The 19088-nt window shown below is 41.0% G+C and overlaps 1 protein-coding gene across 1 annotated transcript in view; it reads right to left on the minus strand.

The window, feature by feature from the left end:
* The window catches only part of FREM3 (FRAS1 related extracellular matrix 3), a 123374-nt gene continuing 118505 nt past the window's right edge, over positions 14220 to 19088 (minus strand). The window contains exon 8 of the mRNA NM_001168235.2: positions 14220 to 14770. Coding sequence (NP_001161707.1) covers positions 14529 to 14770 — 242 coding nt within the window. The 3' untranslated portion in view covers positions 14220 to 14528. The remainder of the gene's footprint in view (positions 14771 to 19088) is intronic.

Below are 19088 nucleotides of genomic sequence, written 5' to 3' on the forward strand. Positions count from 1 at the left end.
TTCCTCTAGATTGCAGAGGATATAGTGGAAAGACTGGGTGCCCAGGAAAAAGCCTGCTGCAGGAGTGGAGGCCCTGTAGAAAGTCTCGATAGGGCAGTGCTGAGGTGAAATATGAGATTGAAGCCCCCCATGGAGAGTCCTCACCGAGGCACTGCCTAGTGGAGCTGTAGGAACAGGCCACTGCCTTCCAGATCCCAGAGTGGAAGAGCCAGCTTATACCTTCAGCCTTGAAAAGCCACAGGCATTCGACTCCAACCCATGAGGGCAGCCATGTGAGCTGCACCCAGCAGAGTCATAGGGGTCTGACTGTCCAAGACCTTGGGAGCACACCCCTCGTACCAGTGTGGCCTGGATGTGGGACATGGAGTCATGGGAGATTATTTTGGAGCTTTAAGATTTAATGTCTGCCCTACTGGGTTGCAGATTTCTGTGGGGCCTGTTGCCCCTTATTTTTGGCCTATTTCTCCATTTTGAAGTGGAAATGTTTATCAGTCTTTATTTCATCATTGTATCTTGGAAGAACATAACTTGTTTTCTTTTTTTTTTTGATTTTTCAAGGTAATATTCTCAATATTATTTATTATTTATTGATAGCACATGACTTCAAGAGAGTTAACACATTTGAGTTTAAAAAATGATTTGCTTGTAAGTAAAAAATAGAATGTAACATACAGAATAGAAATCTATATAGAGAAAATCATATACAGTAAAGATAATTGAATTAGTTTAAAAAGGCACATAATGAATAACAAGTACTACTTTTTAAAAGAATGTTTATGCTTTTGGTTAAATATAGTGAATGTATTTTTATTACTTTTCCAGAATTATGAATAAATAATTATACCCCATCATATTTATCATTTTCTAAAATTATGTTTTATATTCTAAAATAATTTTTATGTCAGGCAATTCTGTCTTTCTATACCTTTCTATACAATTCTGTCTTTCTATAAATATTCTTCCAGGCTGTATTTCACTTTGTGCCTTGTGTTTTCACCTAAATGTTGAGGGAAGAAAATTATTTTTTGGCAAATAACCATTTTCCTCCAGGTTTTTAATCTAAAGGTGGTTATATGCTAAAGACAATATGATATTAAGAAAGCAGAATGTGTCATGTTCTTACTCAAATGCTAAACCTTTTCTTAATGGAAAGAAAATATATAAACTAAATATGTTGTTTCTGAGACCTGAAGATTATAACTTTTTAAATGTATTTCAGTCTAAAAGGTTAGGATCCCATGTATAAACATGGCAGTGCATAAGACACAACTGAGAGGCGAACTGCTATACTATACAGAATTGTTAGCATTTCTTGTGGCTCGTGTATGTTTCAGAAAAAGATCAGTAAGTTACCACACTTTTCTTGCAAAATTGTATATAAATTAACCTGATATCCTTTTATACCAAATCGTGGTTACTAAATATTGCTATTCTGTAAAAGTGCCTAAGAATCATTATTTTCAACACTAACACCCCGGAAACAGTAAGAGAAACCTGAAAGTGGTAGGAAAGAATGAAAGGCCTTATTAGTCATCTAAATTATAAGTTTTCTTTTATGTTGTTAATATGGACATGGTAATTATAACTCAGTATCTTCTTGGGGTCCCTGACTCATTGTTCTTCACTCACTCTTATTAGGACCTCTGGAAGATATAATTTATCCTATTTAAGTGAGCAGGATTTTCCCCTCTAGACATACTTTATAAGCATTTTCTCATTAGAAAACCACATGTGCTATAACAGTAGTTTGATTTGCTCTTTACAATATCAACAGATACTACTTGTTTCTGTTTGTTTTTTGTTTTTGTAGAGACAGGGTTTCATCATGGTGATCAGGCTTGTCTCGAACTCCTGACCTCGTGATCCACCCACCTTGGCCTCCCACAGTGCTGGGATTACAGGTGTGAGCCACCATGCTCAGCCTGTTTTTTTTTTTTTTTATTTCAATAGTTTTGGAGGAACAGGTGCTGGTTGGTTGGATGAAAAAGTTCTTTGGTGATGATTTCTGAGATTTTTGTGCACCTGTCACCCAAGCAGTGTACACTGTACCCAATGTGTACTCTTTTATCCCTCACCACCCCCGCAACCCTTCCCCCAAGTCCCCAGAGTCCATTATGTCACTCTTATATATGCCTTTGCATCCTCGTAGCTTAGCTCTCATTTACAACATACGAACATACGATGTTTGTTTTTCCATTCCTGAGTTACTTCACTTAGAATTATGGTCTCTTTCCAGGTTGCTGTGAATGCCATTATTTCATTCCTTTTTATGGCTGAGTAGCATTCCATGGTATCTATATACCACATTTTCTTTATCCACTCATTGGTTGATGGGCATTTAGGCTAGTTCCATATTTTTGCAGTTGTGAATTGTGCTGCTATAAACATGCATGTGCAAGTGTCTTTTTCATATAATGATTTCTTTTCCTCTAAGTAGATACCCAAGACTGGGATTGCTGGATCAAACAGCAGTTCTACTTTTCACCACATCCACACCAACATCTGTTATTTTTTGATTTTTTAATTATGGCCATTCTTGTGGGAGTAAGGTGGTATCGCATTGTGGTTTTGATTTGCATTTGCCTGATCATTAGTGATGCTGAACAATTTTTCCGATGTTGGCCATTTGCATGTCTTCTTTTGAGAATTGTCTATTCATATCCTTAGTCCACTCTTTGATAGGAGTATTTGTCTTTTTTCCCTTGGGGCTGTCTGTTTACTCTGCTATTTCTTTTGCTGTGCAGAAGTTTTTTAGTTTAATTAGGTCCTGCCTATTTATCTTTCTATTTGTTGCATTTGCTTTTGGGATCTTGGCTTAAGCCAATGTCTAGAAGAGTTTTTCGATGTATTTTCTAGAATTTTTATGATTTCAGGTCTTAGATTTAAGTTCTTTTTTTTTTCTTGAGATGGAGTCTCGCTCTGTCACCCAGGCTGGAGTGCAGTGGCGCGATCTCTGCTCGCTGCAAGCTCCACCTCCCAGATTCATGCCATTCTCCTGCCTCAGCCTCCCTAGTAGCTGGGACTACAGGCACCTGCCACCATGCCCAGCTAATTTTTTGGATTTTTTAGTAGAGACGGGGTTTCACTGTGTTAGCCAGGATGGTCTCGATCTCCTGACCTCGTGATCCGCCTGCCTTGGCCTCCCAAAGTGCTGGGATTACAGGCGTGAGACACCACAGCTGGCCAGATTTAAGTTCTTGATCAATCTTGAGTTAATTTTTGCATAAGGTGAGAGATAAGGATCCAGTTTCATTCTCCTACTTGTGGCTTGCTAATTATCCTAGCACCATTTGTTGAATAGGGTGTCCTTTCCCCACTTTATGTTTTTGTTTGCTTTGTCGAAGATCAGTTGGCTGTAAGTATTTGGCTTTATTTCTGGGTTCTCTATTCCATTCCACTGGTCTATGAGCCTATTTTTATACCACTACCATGCTGTTTTGGTAACTATAGCCTTGTACTATAGTTTGAAATCAGGTAATGTGATACCTCCAGATCTGTTCTTTTTGCTTAGTCTTGCTTTGGCTATGTGGGCTCTTTTTTGGTTCCATATGAATTTTAGGATTGTTTTTTGTAGTTCTGTGAAGAATGATGATGGTATTTCTATGGGAATTGCATTGAATTTGTAAATTGCTTTCGGCAGTATGGTTATTTTCACAATATTGATTCTTCAAATCCATGAGCATGGAATGTGTTTCCATTTGTTTGTATCATCCACAATTTCTTTTAGCAGTGTTTTGTAGTTTTTCCTCGTAGAGATCTTTCATCTCCTTGGTAGGTATATTCCTAAGTATTTTATTTTATTTTTTTTGTGGCTGTTGTAAAGGGGGTTGAGTTCTTGATTTGATTCTCAGCTTGGTCATTGTTGGTGTATAGCAGTGGTACTGATTTGTGTGTATTGATTTTCTATCCTGAAACTTTACTGAATTCATTGATCAGATCTAGGAGGTTTCTGCATGAGTCTTTAGGATTTTTTAAGTATATGATCATATCATTGGTGAACAGTGACAGCTTGACTTCCTCTTTACCAATTTGGATGCCCTTTATTTATTTCTCTTGTCTGATTCCTCTGGCTAGACTTACAGTACTATGTTGAATAGAAATGGTGAAAGTAGGCATCTTTGTCTTGTTCCAGTTCTCAGGCGGAATGATTTCAACTTTTCCCCTTTCAGTATAATGTTGGCTATGGGTTTATAATAGATGGCTTTTATTACCTTGAGCTATGTCCCTTTCATGCCGATTTTGCTGAGGGTTTTGATCATAAAGGGATGCTGGGTTTTGTCAAATGCTTTTTCTGCATCTGTTGAGATGATCACATAATTTTTGTTTTTAATTCTCATAACTTGTTTTTGATCTTACAGGCTTATAGATGGAAGGAACTTTCCTTGAGTCTCAGATTGGACCTTTTGGACCTTTTTTTTTTTTTTTTTTTTTTTCTTTTGAGTTAAGGGTCTCACTTGGTCACCCAGGCTGGAGTGCAGTGGCATGATCTCAGCTCATTGAAGCCTCTGCCTCCCAGGTTCAAGTGATTCTCTTGCCTCAGCCTCTCAAGTAGCTGCAATTACAGGTGTGTGCCACCACACCTCACTAATTTTTATATTTTTAGTAGAGACAGATTTCACCATGTTGCCCAGGCTGGTCTCGAACTCCTGACCTCAAGTGATCTGCCCACCTTGGCTTCTCAAAGTGCTGGAATTACAGGTGTGAGCCACCATGCTCAGTCTCAGATTGGACTTTTGAGCTGATGCTTGGAATGAGTTAAAATTTTGGGGGACTATTGGGAAGGGATGATTCTTTTTTGCAGTGTGAGAAGATCATTAGATTTGGGAGGGAAGGGGTAGAATGATATAGTTTGGGTATTTGTTCCCTCCAAATCTCATGTTTAAATTTGGTCCCCAGTGCTGAAGGCAGGGCTTGGCTGGAGGTGTCTGGGTTGTGAGGTGGATACCTCAAGAATGGCTTGGTGCATTTCTTACAGAATGAATGAGTTCTTGTTCTGTTTGTTCACAGGAGAACTTGTTGTTTAAAAGAGTGTGGCACCTTCATCCCCCTTTTTCCTTTCTTGCCATGTGACACACCAGCTCCCCTTCACCTTCTGCCATGATTGAAAGCTTCCTGAAGCCTCACCAGAAACAGATGCTGGTGCCATGCTTCCTGTACAGCCTGCAGAATTGTGAGCCAAATAAACTTTTCTTTATAAATTACCCAGCCTCAGGTGTTCCTTTATAGCAACACAAATGGACTAAGACAGCAGTTTTCAAAGCTTTACACATTTGGCTGTATGTCTTTTTTCTCTTCTACAGCTGTCTAACCTGCTTCTTATTTGCCCCAAAGGAGGATATAGGGAAACTTTGGGCTCATGTTAATGCTCATAGGTAGATGTCAGCAGTGATACTTCTGGATCAGGTGAGGCTATCCATTTGACTTTTACACTTGAGCCCATCAGACAGCTTTACTACTGTATTAGTCCATTCTCATGCTACTAATGAAGACATACCTGAGACCGGGTAATTTATGAAGGAAGGGGTTTAATGGACTCACGGTTCCACATGTCTGGGAAGGCCTGACAATCATGGCGGAAGGCTAATGAGGAGCAAATTCATGTCTTACATGGCAACAGGCAAGAGAATTTGTGCAAGGGAACTCCCGTTTATAAAACCACCAGATCTTGTAAGACTTATTCACTACCATGAGAATAGTTGGGGGAAACTGCCCCCATGATTTAATTATCTCCACCTGGCCCCATCCTTGACACATGAGGATTATTACAATTCATGGTGAGATGTTGGTAAGGACACAGCCAAACCGTATCATTCCACCCGTGGCCCCTCCCAAATCTCATGTCCTCACATTTCAAAACCAATCATGCCTTACCAACAATCCCCCAAAGTCTTAACTGACTTCAGCATTAACTCAAAAGTCCACAGTCCAAAGTAATCGCCCTTGAAACATGGGGATTACTACAATTCAAGGTGAGATTTGAGTGGGAACACAGCCAATCCATATCAACTACCAACATTAAATCACTTTAAAAAAGGTGCCAAGAAATCTGATACTTTGCTTTACATTTAAAAGAAGAGGATAAGAAGTCTAAAAAGGCTTTAGGAAAAATCTTTCAAATCACCCTCCATTATTAGGTGGAGTAAGCACTGGGCTAGCTAGCAGTCAGGAGAATAGAGTCATAGTCTCAGCCATATCACAGCCAATGTGATGCTGGGAAAAATAATTTGCTGAAATGGAACAGGAGCTCATCTTTTTTTTTTTTTTTTTTTGAGACAGGGTCTCATCCAGGCTGCCTGGAGTACAATGGCACAATCATAGCTCACTGCAGTCTTGAACTCCCAGGCTCAAGAAATACTCTTGCTTTAGCCTCCCAAGTAGCCAGGACCACAGGTGTGCACCACCACACTCAGCTAATTTTTAAATTTTTTTTGTAGAGATAGGGTTTTGCTTTATAGCCCTGGCTGTTATTGAACTACTGGCTTCAAACTATCCTTCTCCCTTGGCTTCCCAAGGTGCTGGGATTACAAGTGTGATTCACAACACTCAGCTAGGATCTCATCATTTTAAAGCACTTTTGCTTGTACATTTCAGTTGAATCAACTCAAGCCTCAGTTTCCTCAGGTTCCATGATTCTTTGTATAACTCTGTACTTATCAGCTATAAGTATAAGCACATCAACAAATCACAGGTACTTCAATTCATGCTTTTATGGCAAGATGTGGAAGAAATGTAAAATTAGGAGTCAGGTGATGTGGGCTCAAATCTTAGCTCCACCCCTTGATACCTGAACAACTCAGGAGTATTTTTATTTCTATTATGGGATATTAATAAGCACCTCACATTGGACTAAGGACAATTAAATGGGAAAAGGATATGAAGGCATCTTGTAAATTCCAAGTAAGGAAACTGTTGAAAGTGAATATGATAGTATCTAAAGCTCCATTTGAAATTTCAGATGTGGAGCTGCCTCTTCAATTAGTTGATTTATCTGGCGTTCATTCACATTTACACTCACATTTAGGATTGCTCTAAGCCTTTAATGGATTATTGTGTCCCCAGTTAATGAGTATGGATTGCTGCTCTGCTCCAGCTGTCCCCCACCATCCATCCCCATCAGTCCTCCTGTCAGAAGCATACCTGGCCATCAGTGCGAAGGAGCCACTGGAGCACACTCAGTCAGCAGTTTGGGCATGTCATAATATCTGCTGAATTCACAGGGGTAGGCCTCCAGGTTGAGGTTCTAGTGAAAGCAAAGGGTGCCAGCAGGTCTTAGGGAGGCACTGCACTGTTTGAGGGTGGGGGGCTCTGCCTGGGCACTGCCAGGTGCTTGGCGTGCTTTGTGGTGAAGCCATCCTTGGTGTGGAGCTTGCTGTCACCAGAAGATTGGAGCACTGCGTTTGCCCACATGGGAGGAATCTCAAATATACTTAGTGTCTGCCCAAGAGAAGGAAGCTCAGTATACTTAGTGTCTACCATGGCCTGCCATCAGGGCTGAGAGGGAGCTCAAAATTGTCAAGAGGCCATGTGGACATGACAGGCAGCATTCCTGGAACCCAGGGAGACAGCCTGCATAGGGCAGAGCTTGGGGTTGGGGTGACTGGGTCCTACTTGTATCTTCAGTTCTTCCAGTGGCCTGAGGCATGGCCCTGAGGTCCCCCTTCTCCTTGCAGAGAATGCATGCCTGTGCCTTTTGTCTTGTGGTAACACCTATCATTCATGTGCGGTATCATCACAATGATTTTGATTAAATTGAGGTAAACAGCGTCATCAGGCCCCATATATTGAATCTTGGCTGAGAAAGGCTCAGCTCCCACTGTGTCAGACAGATGAGGCTGACAGAGACCTGGGAGAACAGATGCTAATGAAAACATAAGGGACTGGCCACTCCAGGATAATAAGAATAAAACAAGGAATAGTAATTACAGTTTGCTGAGTGCCTAGTGAACACTAGTGTACATATATCATCATATTGATTCTCAATAATCCTATGAAGGAGATATTCTCATTTTGCAGGTGAAAAACTGAGTCATTGACACAATTACCTCTGTGAATTATTGACTTCTATATTATAAGGGAAACAGGCTTGGAATAAATTGATTAATAATAATCAATTACTGATTTTTGAGATATCAATGTACTTCTCTCAAAAAATTCCTTGTTCAAATGTGGCCTAATTTCTTGTTGCTTCAACAAGATGAAAACATATGGAACTCTTCCTTCAATGGTTGTGCTTAGGAGACTCTCTGATGGGATTTCTTTTAGTCCTTGGAAGATGTAATTGTGGACGTAAAAAAATCATAAACACACACACATGCATACAACACATATTTAGTGAAATTATTTCATACTTGTTAACTATTATGTTAAAAAAATACATTTTTACTTACTCAGAATGGCCTAAGAAAGAAGTGGAAGCTCAAGTATACTTAGTGTCTACCATGGCCAGAGAGCTGGGGAGAACTGAGGCAGGGTCTGGACCCAGTGAAAAACATTCATTAGGGCTAAAAATCATTACACAGAGTTTGCACTGATCTGGTCCTAGCTCAGGCTTCCTCCTCACTGGGAGCCCCACCTCACTCAGCTCTGAACTGGGCCCTTTAAGCATGCTCTCTCACCAGTGGGGTGTTCTATCTTAGAAAAAGTTGCTGTCGACCTCACTCAGTGACACTAGGAGTGCATTCTGTAGGGGGGATGTGCCTATACCTTTGCTTTAACATTCTTTGAATAAGTATAAGAGTTGCTTAATTTCAACATTCTTCCTCAGTTAATATATTTCTTGTAGCATTATGTCTATTTAAGTTAAGCACTTCTGTTCAAAACAGATACTTTTACAATTCAAGATACCTCTTAATATGCATATTATATATTATGTAATATATTAAAATATACATGAGATATATATTGATTCTGACATTGTAAGAGCAATAAAAATTATTATCCGTAAGAAGGCACTTACAGTCTTACAGTACTTGGGGGACATCATTACATTTGATTTTTATTATGGCACAATACAATATTGAGGACCAGAGTGACCCGGAAAGAACTGGAGCTTTAGAATGAGACAAATCCAATGTGATAAAATGGTCATGGTGCTTAATCCAGGGAAGTATATCCATATGATTTTTATTATATTTTATTACATTTAAAATATTTAAAATGTACAAAATTAATGGGGGTATGGTAGAGAAGGTAAGCTCTTGTGATGATTCATAACTTCCTATCATATTTTTTTCTTGTGATGCTCCATTGTAGAATCAAAGAACATAGCTTTGTAAAAAGTCCAACATATTTGTGCTAGCTCTGAATTAAAATTCATTTGATCTATTGTAGTGTCAAGATATGCCATAATACTGAGAATGGAGGAGTCTGAGGCCCTGGTCCATCAACTGACAGCATGAACTTCACGTCAAGAAGTGAGATTGGTGAATAAGTGAAGACAGAAGGAAAATTGGAGATACAGCTGGATGTATGAACCCTGCTCTGAAAACACTCTTTAACGGTATAAGGATTCTTATTAACGAATTTTATTTCTTTTTTATCTGATCATTATTTTATTTTGATTTATAGAGGAATATATAGAGGGGGATATCTATAGAGACACACACGTTTGTGTGTGTATATATAAATATATATGTATGTGTATGTGTGTGTGTATATATATATGTATGTGTGTGTGTGTGTGTATTCTCTAGTCATGCTCCAAATTTGGAGTCTTTTTCTATAGTCTTGAAATTAGTAGTGCGATATTGTTATATAATAAGAAATATCATTTAAGGTCTTTGTTCCTGATTCCTGTCATAGAGCTAGTAAAACCTTTGGAATTTCTGAGTGATAGAGGAAAGTGGAGAGTCTTTTGCTATTCCTAATAGGCCCCTGTTAACCATATATGAGTTTATGCTAATGAGGTGACTCTTGAAGGATGGGCTGCTTTCCAGAGGAACCAACCATGTGATTACGGGGTTGGAAATTTCAGTCCCACTTCCAAACCTCGAGGGAGGCAAGAAGAGCTGGAGATTAAGTCAATCACCAATGAGCAATGATTTAATAAACCATGCCTATAAAATGGAGTCTCCATAAAAACCCTAAATAACAGGGTTTGGAGAGGTTCCAAGTCAGTGAATGCATCCACATGGTAGGAGGGTGGTGCATCCCAAACTCCAGGGGACAGCAGCTCCTGTGCTCAGGACCCTTTGGGACCTTGCCCGGTGTCCCTCTTCATCTGGCTGTTCATTTCTTTTCTTCTTTTTCTTTTTCTTTTTTTGAGATGGACTCTTGCTCTGTCACACAGGCTGGAGTGCAATGGCGCAATGTTGGCTCACTGCAACCTCTGCCTCCTGGGTTCAAATGATTCTCCTGCCTCAGCGTCCCGCATAGCTGGGATTACAGGCACGTGCCGCCACACCCGGCTAATTTTTGTATTTTTACTAGAGACAGGGTTTCACCATGTTGGCCAGGCTGGTCTCAAACTCCTGACCTCAAGTGGTCTACCCACCTTGGCCTCCCAAAGTTCTGGGATTACAGGTGTAAGACACTGAGCCTGGCCCATCTGGCTGTTCATTTCTATCTATTATAATATCCTTTATAATAAACCAGTAATAGTAAAAGTGTTTCCCTGAGTTCTGTGCTGTTATTGCAAATTATCAAACCTGAGAGGTGGTTATGGGCAGTTCCAATTTGTAGCCAAGTTGTTCAGAAGTATGGTGTCCGAAGTGGGAGCAGTCTTAAGGGACTGAGCCCTTCACCTGTGGGATCTGATGCTAACTCCAGGTAGGAATGGTAGGGTACCCAGTTGGTATCCCAAGGGTGGGAGAATTGGTTCTTGGTGTGGGAAGAACCCACACATTTTGTGTAAGAAATGTTGTGAGTAGAGGAATAGAATCTTAGTTTTATCTCTGTTTTGTTGTGTTTTTGTTTTGTTTTGTTTGAGACAGGGTCTTGCTCTACTGCCCAGGCTGGAGTGCAGTGGCTTACTGCAGCCTCAAACTTCTGGGTTCAAGTAATCCTCTCACCTCAGCCTCCCAAGTAGCTGGGACTACAGGCTTGGGCCATCACACCTGACTAAGTTTTTGTTTTCTGTAGGGACAGGGTCTCACCATGTTGCCCTGGCTTGTCTCAAACTCCTGGGCTCACACAGTCTTCTCGCATTGGCCTCCCAATGTGCCGAGATTACACCAGCAATGTTGAGCCACCATGCCCAGCCGAGGAATAGTTTTTATTTCATTAGATTTATTAATACTTACATTATTGGTAGATTAGGCTAATGCTGGACTGCCTACAGCTTCTTTCGAAACATAGGTCTACTAAAGCCTCAGGTTGGAATTCCCATTGCTTTCAGGACATTGTTTATCTGCTGATGCTGCTTCCAAGTATTACCTCTGTCAGATGGACTGCGTTATGTCTTCAGGACAGGGCCTTGAATCTCTACAGAAAGATCCCCTCACAGCAGACACTGAGTGTCAACCTCTGTCTGTATTCCCTGAGTGTGCTTTCTAGTGTTCTTCATTTTAGTTCGTTGCCAATACCAGCAAACTCTCCTGATCTCTCCCTGCCTGTGGTACCAGCTTCCTGTGGCTGCTATAACAAATTACTATAAACTTGATGGCTTAAAAAAACAGAAATTTACTTTCTCCTAGTTCTGGAGTTTAGAAGTCCAAAATCAGTATTACTGGGACAGAGCCTAGTTGTTGGCAGGGATGTACTGCCTCCAGCAGGAGAATCTACTTCCTGCCTGCCAGCTTCCAGTGGCTGCTGGCCTTCCATGGCTTGTAGCCCTATTACTCCAATCTCTGCCTTTCATAGTCACATTGCATCCCCCTCTTCTGTATGTAACCTGTATCTCACGTCCTCTTATGAGGACTCTTGTGATTACATTTAGGGCCCATTCAGGATAATCTTCCTATCTCAAGATCCTTAATTACATGTGCAAAGATGCTTTTTCTATATAAGGTAAAATCCGTAGGTTCCAGGGATTAGGACAAGTCAGTGCTAAATATTCCTGCAGGGACCCTATGAGACTTCATCACAAATTGTAATAACAATAACAGAATGAGGTCATTATAATCTGTTTAATTTCCTCAATTTCATAAATAGCAAAAACTTGCTAATGAGCACATATATTTACCGACAGAACTTTAAAGTACGTTTACAAAATAAATGACTGATAATCTCATTACCCTAATAGAAAGTTATTACCATTTCCAGGCATTTTCTTTTAGTCTTTTCCATATGTTTAAGGATTGCAATAGCCACATGGTCATGGATACTCTAGAATTCATACTATTCTATCAAGTAGATATCCTATAATTCAGTTAACCATTTCCTGAGTATTGGGTATTTAGGCTGCTTATAATTATTTATTATTATAAATAAGGTTAGGAGCAGCAACATTCTGCTGCCTTAGTGACAAACAAATTTTTGAATGCTTAGCTGGCAGAAAGCCAGCTGTGGAGTCATCAGTGTTGGGTTGCTCCCCATAGTTCACTGTCTCCTGGGCTGAGCCCTGGTGGGTATGGCAGTTCACCAAGGACCTATGGCTGGTGTCTCTGCTCCAGTAAATGATGGCCCTTAGCTGCCTTTTTCATTCACCCTGTCAGTGGAGCCCTTAAATTGGGCCCTGGGTACTGAAATAAAATATACAACAACTTTCCATTTAACGTTTACACAAGAACAGCAACATCTAGTGTATCTCCATTACACTTTCCAGCTCTGAGAAAACTAAAGTTTTAAGTGAGAAAAAAATACTTAATATTTTTTCTATAAAAATGTTAGCATAGGGAAGAGTATATAAGGGATGACAAATGAGCCCAGTTTTCCATAGTGTGCAATTCCATTCCTGGTAGGAAATCAGGCATTTTTTTCACTCTTTCAGGACACTAGATTACTTTCATTACTGAATTGTAGAATATGCTATAAGTCATAACTAGAATACACTAGGTTTTATCCTAAAAAATGTAATTTTGCTTCTCTGGCATATCTTAATGGGTAGAAACTGGGAATGAAACAGACTTTATAAAAAGCACTGTTTGTGATATCCTCCCCCCAAAAATATGAATGCCTAAACACTGCATTCATCTGAATGTACCTAAGTAACAAAAAAATACAATGAGAGAGAAAAAGAGTGATTTTCTGAAAAACACTGAAAGACTGGAATTAATTTTGAGTTCAAAACAGATTCCTCCATAATGCCGACAATGTGTATTTCCCCTGGGCACACAGGTACTCAGCAGGGAATTCAGTTGTTGCTTCATTTGAGGCCCAAACCAGGGGATCTGTGGGGTCTCTTAGGTATATCTGAGAGTTATCTTGGTCCATGTGTAGTTTTTCTATTACTTTTTTTCTAATGTGTGTGAAGGGGACATATCTCTTTGACCTGAAGAAGAAGCCCAATAACTATTTGTTGAATTTGAGTTTAAAAGAGTTTTGCCCCTGGTGGTTGGGCAAATTGCAAGGTGAGGGAGGGTGATTTTCTGTTGGTGGATATGCACTCAGACAGGAATCAGACAGAACTGGAAGAGATCTTAACAGAAATTGAGTCCAAATTTCTCATTTTACAGAGGGAGAAGTGAGGTCAAGAGTTATCAGGTAGTTTAGAAAAATATTTCCTCTGGTTGGGAAAATGAAAGTCTAGCAAAGAAGCAAAACCTGGGCTAACAGTAGACAAGGGTTTCTTGGCCTATATATGCAGACTATATCACAGTCAAGAGCCTTTTTATCCCTATTCAATATTTGGAAAAAATGCATCTGGGAATGGTTTCTATTATACACTATATTGGCTTGAGAATAAGTTAATGTCTGAAACACAAATTTTAAAAAAAGATTTGCATAAGAAATACCTAAAAAGTAATGATGGGGCACAAAGATGTGGTTTCAAAATAATTTGGAAACTTTGATTTATGTGGTATTAGCCACGGCTATATATATTGTCAATTTAACATTAGTTAAGAACTAATTGGGCAGTTTGTGAACTATGCAAATCTTCAACTCTTCTTTCTTCTCCTTTCCACTACTTGCATGTTCATCATTTTACTGTTTATTATCCTTTTTTTTTTTTTTTTACAAAAGAGTGCAAAGGAATAAAAAGTTGAAAAATTTCCCTACCAAGTAGTTCTGATAAAGACTTGTGAACAAAAATCGAAGAATTCGCTAAAGGAACTTTATATATGGAGAGAGAGAGTTGAAAAGTGTTTCATATGCAGCATCAATCAGTAAAGAGAGGTTAATTCTTTGATCTTAACTTTTGATTTAATTGATCACAGTGGATTTCTTACTTGCCTCAGAAACAAAGTAAAACAAAATAGAAAAAGAACATGAACACAGTCTAATTATTTGTGGGCTCAATGTTTTCTAGGTATATATATTTCTATCTCCATGCAGTCATATAAATTACATTTCCACATATCACCAGAATATAACACCAATGACAGTACAATATCACTGATATCCCAGAATTGCTAAGATCTATAAACAGTAGAGTTTCATTCTGTTGTTAGGAGACATATCTTGGCTGTTTTTTTCCCTCTTAAAGTCTTTCAATCAAAGGAACTACAAGCACTCTGCTTACAGTCCGTGATGGTGTCCTCGATGAAAATGGTAGTTTTATTTGGTTCTCCAAGCACTGCACCCATAGGCATCTGAAGAAGTAATTCAAACTTCTCTGGGCCTTCCAAGGTAGGCTGTCCCAGGTCATCAAGGATGGTCACTTGGAATGTCTGCATGCGCACGCCTGGAGCAAAGTCCAGGTTTCGGCTGATACCAACATAATCTGTTCCAGCTAGTGAAAAAGGAAAAGGCACTGGTGAGACAGTAGGATTTGTCATAAGTTTTCCTTCAGAGAAAAATGAGAGCTCTCACCAACTCTGCGGCATTCACCTTTGTACCCAACACTCTCAGGATCATATACTTTGGGTTTGATCCCCAGAAGGGGGAACTTCCATATTCTACCAAATGCCTTGTAGTCCCTTGTGCCATGCCCACGTGCCATCCTCACCAGGGCTTTACACGTCTAGACCAGGCACATCACCTTCCAACTACTTCCACCAAGATTCTGCCAAATTATTGAAGGATCTCTGAAGGTAGCTTCAATTTGAAATGAAAGGATTTGCCTTTTTAATTTTTTAACCTTGAAGATAAATGTAATACATTTTATTTTGATTAGGTTTCACTCATTCACTTTTGCCAGACATCTGTTTTAATCTCACAACACTCTGCTCAATTTTATGAAGCCATGAAGTTCTGCCATTCTCTCGGTTGTTATTAATCATTTTTTCAAGCTGGTCCACCTCACCGTACAGCTTCTTTGCGACTTATTTGGAAAGTCATCAAATGTAATGATCGTAACATGATAATCAATGGAATTAAATAGAAACCCCTGAGTGATATAAATATAAAAATAAATCGAGGAACAGAATATTTATATTGTCTCAAGGTACTCCTCCATAAAATATTAATTGCAAAGGAAAAAAGGGAATATAATGAGGAACCCTGGCAGATACTACCTTACCCAACTGATCAAAGTTAACACCACCAGTAATGGGATAAATGGAAACTGTGTGCCATTTGACAGAATACAATGAGAGGATAGTATCATCTTTGTGATATTCCTGCTAAAGATGCATTACCTGAATCTAATTATGAAAAACCATCAGACAAACCCAAATTTGGAAGACATTCTATATAGTATAATAACTGGGTTGTAATCTTCAAAAGCATCAAGGTGTTGAGAGGACTGTTGTAGGTTGAAGAAAACAAAAGCAGACATGACAGCTAAATATAATGCATGATTTAGAACTGGATTCTTTTGCTGTAAAGAATGATTTGAGGCAACTGGTGAAATTTGAATGAGGTCTGAGTAGATTATGCAAGTGTATCAAGTTAATTTCTCAGTTTATGCTTGTTTTGTGGTTATACAAGAGAATGTCTTTGAAGGAATTACATTGTAAGTTTTTGGAGACATGGTTCCAAACTTAAACTCAAGAGTTGACAAAAAAAAAAAAAAGCGTCTCACTCTACTTGTTACTCTTCTGTAAGTTTGAGATTACTCCAAAAAATTTTCTAAAAGGCACCAAATAGTGACATTAAGAAAACAAAAAAAGCCGGGCCCGGTGGATCATGCCTGTAATCTCAGCACTTTGGGAGGCCGATGTGAGCAGATCACTTGAGGCCAGGAGTTTGAGACCAGCCTGGCCAACCTGGTGAAACCCATTTCTACTAAAAGTACAAAAATTAGCAGGGTATGGTGGTGAGTGCCTGTAGTCACAGCTACTTGGGAGGCTGAGGCTCAAGAATCAATTGAACCTGGGAAGCAGATATTTCAGTAAGCTGAGATCACGCCACTGTACTCCAGCCTGGGTGACAGAGTGAGAGCCTGTCTCAAAAACAAAAACAAAAACAAGGTTATAGTGAAAATTACTAAGGCAGGAGAGTAATGGATAAGGTTTTGTATCTCATGGACTTTGACTCAAATCTTGGTTTATTGCTTACTTGTACTAATTCTTTAACTTCTTTGAGTCTCAGTTTCTTTTCTTCAACTGCAAAATGGGGATAATGATAGCTACCTTATAAGGTTTATTGTGAAGATTATGGATGGTAGAGCAAGGATGCTAACACAGTATCTGGCAAATAGTAGGCATTAAGAACACAGAAGTTATAATAATTATTAATGTAACAAGTAACACCTTATACATATATACATAAGATTAATATAGTTAACTAACCTTAGCGGATGTCAAATATTTACTAGGTTCAATAGATTATCAAGTATAAACCTTACTTCTACAACTCTACTTGTTAAACCCATGAATCACTATCCCAAGCATGAACATTACTTTTATTAGTTCATCCCTACCAGACAGCTAGCAGAGGCGTCATTACTTTTATGCAAAGAGGTTTATCTAAAGGAATCTAAATTTCTCTTTCAAACCACAGGCAAAGAAGTCCACCTAACCAAATGGGTTTATTCACTCTTGGTTTCATGGATACATACACAGTGAGAAATGACCCTGTCTGAAAACTTAAAAAAGAATGAAAAAAAGGGGAGGAGAGTGCCAAGATGGCTAACTAGAAGCTGTTAGTGTGTGCTGCTCTCATGGAGAGGACAGAGAGTGGTGAATAAACACACAAGCTCTTCAGCTGGATTTTCTAGGTGGACAGGTTGAGATTCATCAAGGAAGCAACATGACCCACAGAGAACATAGAAGAGTGAGACAGGACGGCTGCCCACCTAGGACTGGGGCAAAGCCAGGGGAGGATCCCCACCGTGGGTAAATGGTGAGTGCGACCCTCCTGGGACCCACAGTTCTTCCATGAACCTTTGCAACCCTGGGCTCTGGAAATCCCCCATGACCACCCCTACCACTGGTGCCTCCAGACAGACACAGGGAACTGTGTGGAGACTGGGCAGAGCTAAGGCTCAGGCATGCATGGAGTCCCAGGGGCTTTGGACCCCTGGGAACACTGGTACCAGCCTCTGGAGCTCCTGCTGCCTCACATGCCCCCAGGATAGGGGCTCTGTGAATTCACAGAGCTGAAGAGCAGATGGACTGCACAACTTGCCTCCACTGAACTCACTAAACAAAGCCCACTGGCCTGGGACCCCAGCATGGCCACCTGAGCTTGCAGGCTGGTAGCAGCCCTGCACTTCTCTGGGATGGAGATCCCAGTGGTAGCAGGCAGGCCTGTCAGTTTTGCTGGTCTGCAGCTCTTGCCCCTGCAGTCTTCAGGCTCTGGAGAGAGCACAAAGATTGAGAACTAATGTAACCCCCAGCACAGCACAGCTGCCTTATGGAGAAATAGACTGTTTTCCCCATGAGTCCTGCTTCTGCTACCTCTTACTGGGCAGGGCCTCCCGACCTGGGACACCAGCCACCCCAGCCCCACCTAGGCTCTTGGCTGGTAGCAGCTCCGCACTTCCTTGGGACAGAGCTCCCAGAAGTAGCAGTGCCACCATTTTTGCTGCTCCACAACCCCAGCTCCTGCTGCGCTCAGGCTTGGGAGGGAGCAAAGAGATTCAGGACTAACTCAGGCCTCCAGCCCAGTGCAGCAGGATTATAGAAAACTGCCCAGACTGTTCTCCATGCGAGTCCCTGCCACTGTTATCCTCACTGGGTAGGGCCTCTTGATCTGGGAACCCAGCACAGCCATCTTGTCCCCATCTGAACCCTTTAGTCATTGGCGGCTCTGCATTTCTCTGGGGAGGAAATCCCAGAGACAATGCAAAACCTCTCTGCCATTGCAGCTGCAGTGGTACTGCCCTTACTGCCCTCAGACTGGGGAAGGAACAAAGGGCTGGTCAAGTCACTGACACCTCCGGCATGGCACAAACACCATACGAAGAGGAGCTCAGTTTCTGTTTCCTGGGAGCCTCTACTGTTCACCAGGCAGGGCCCCCAGCTCAGGACTGCAAAGCAGTTGCCCTGCCCCTGGCTGAGCATTCCCACTGGTAGTGGCTCTGTGTCTTCCTGGGCTGGAGCTCCCAGAGGCAACTGACAGCCCCTCTGCCACTGCCACTGCAGTGGTTCTGCCAGTGCTGCCCTCAGACTGGGGAAGGAACAAAGAGTCTGAGGGCTTTACTCACACCTCTACCGTGCCAGTTGCCATATGGACAGGAGCCAAGTCTCTCTTCCCTGTGAGACCCCAACCCCCTGCTCTTCACCAGACAGGGCTCCTGGCTCAAGACCACAGCACAGCTGCACCACCTCCTGGCTGAACATTTCCATTGGCAGTGGCTCTGCATTTCTCTGGGGTGGAGCTCCCAGAGGCAACTGAAAGTTCCTTTGTTACTGCCACTGTAGTGGTACTGCCCTTGCTGCCCCCAGAGAAGAAAAGGAACAAAGATTCTGAGTGCTTTACTCACACCTCCAGCTCTTAGCTGCCCTAAGGAGAAGAGGCCAGTCTGTCCTCCCTGTGAGCTTCCTGCACTCCCTGCCCATCACCAGGCAGGCCCTCCCCAGTGCCCCAAGCTTGGGCTCACAATGCAGCCACTCTGATTTGTAGTGGCTCTGTGTTTCTCTGGGGTGGAGCTCCAAGAGACAAGTCAAAAGCCCTTTGCCATTACCACTGCTAAGGTCTCTGTCCTCGTCACCCCCAAGCTG

This window comes from Homo sapiens, chromosome 4 (genome assembly GCF_000001405.40).
Source record: "Homo sapiens chromosome 4, GRCh38.p14 Primary Assembly".
Lineage (NCBI taxonomy): Eukaryota > Metazoa > Chordata > Mammalia > Primates > Hominidae > Homo > Homo sapiens.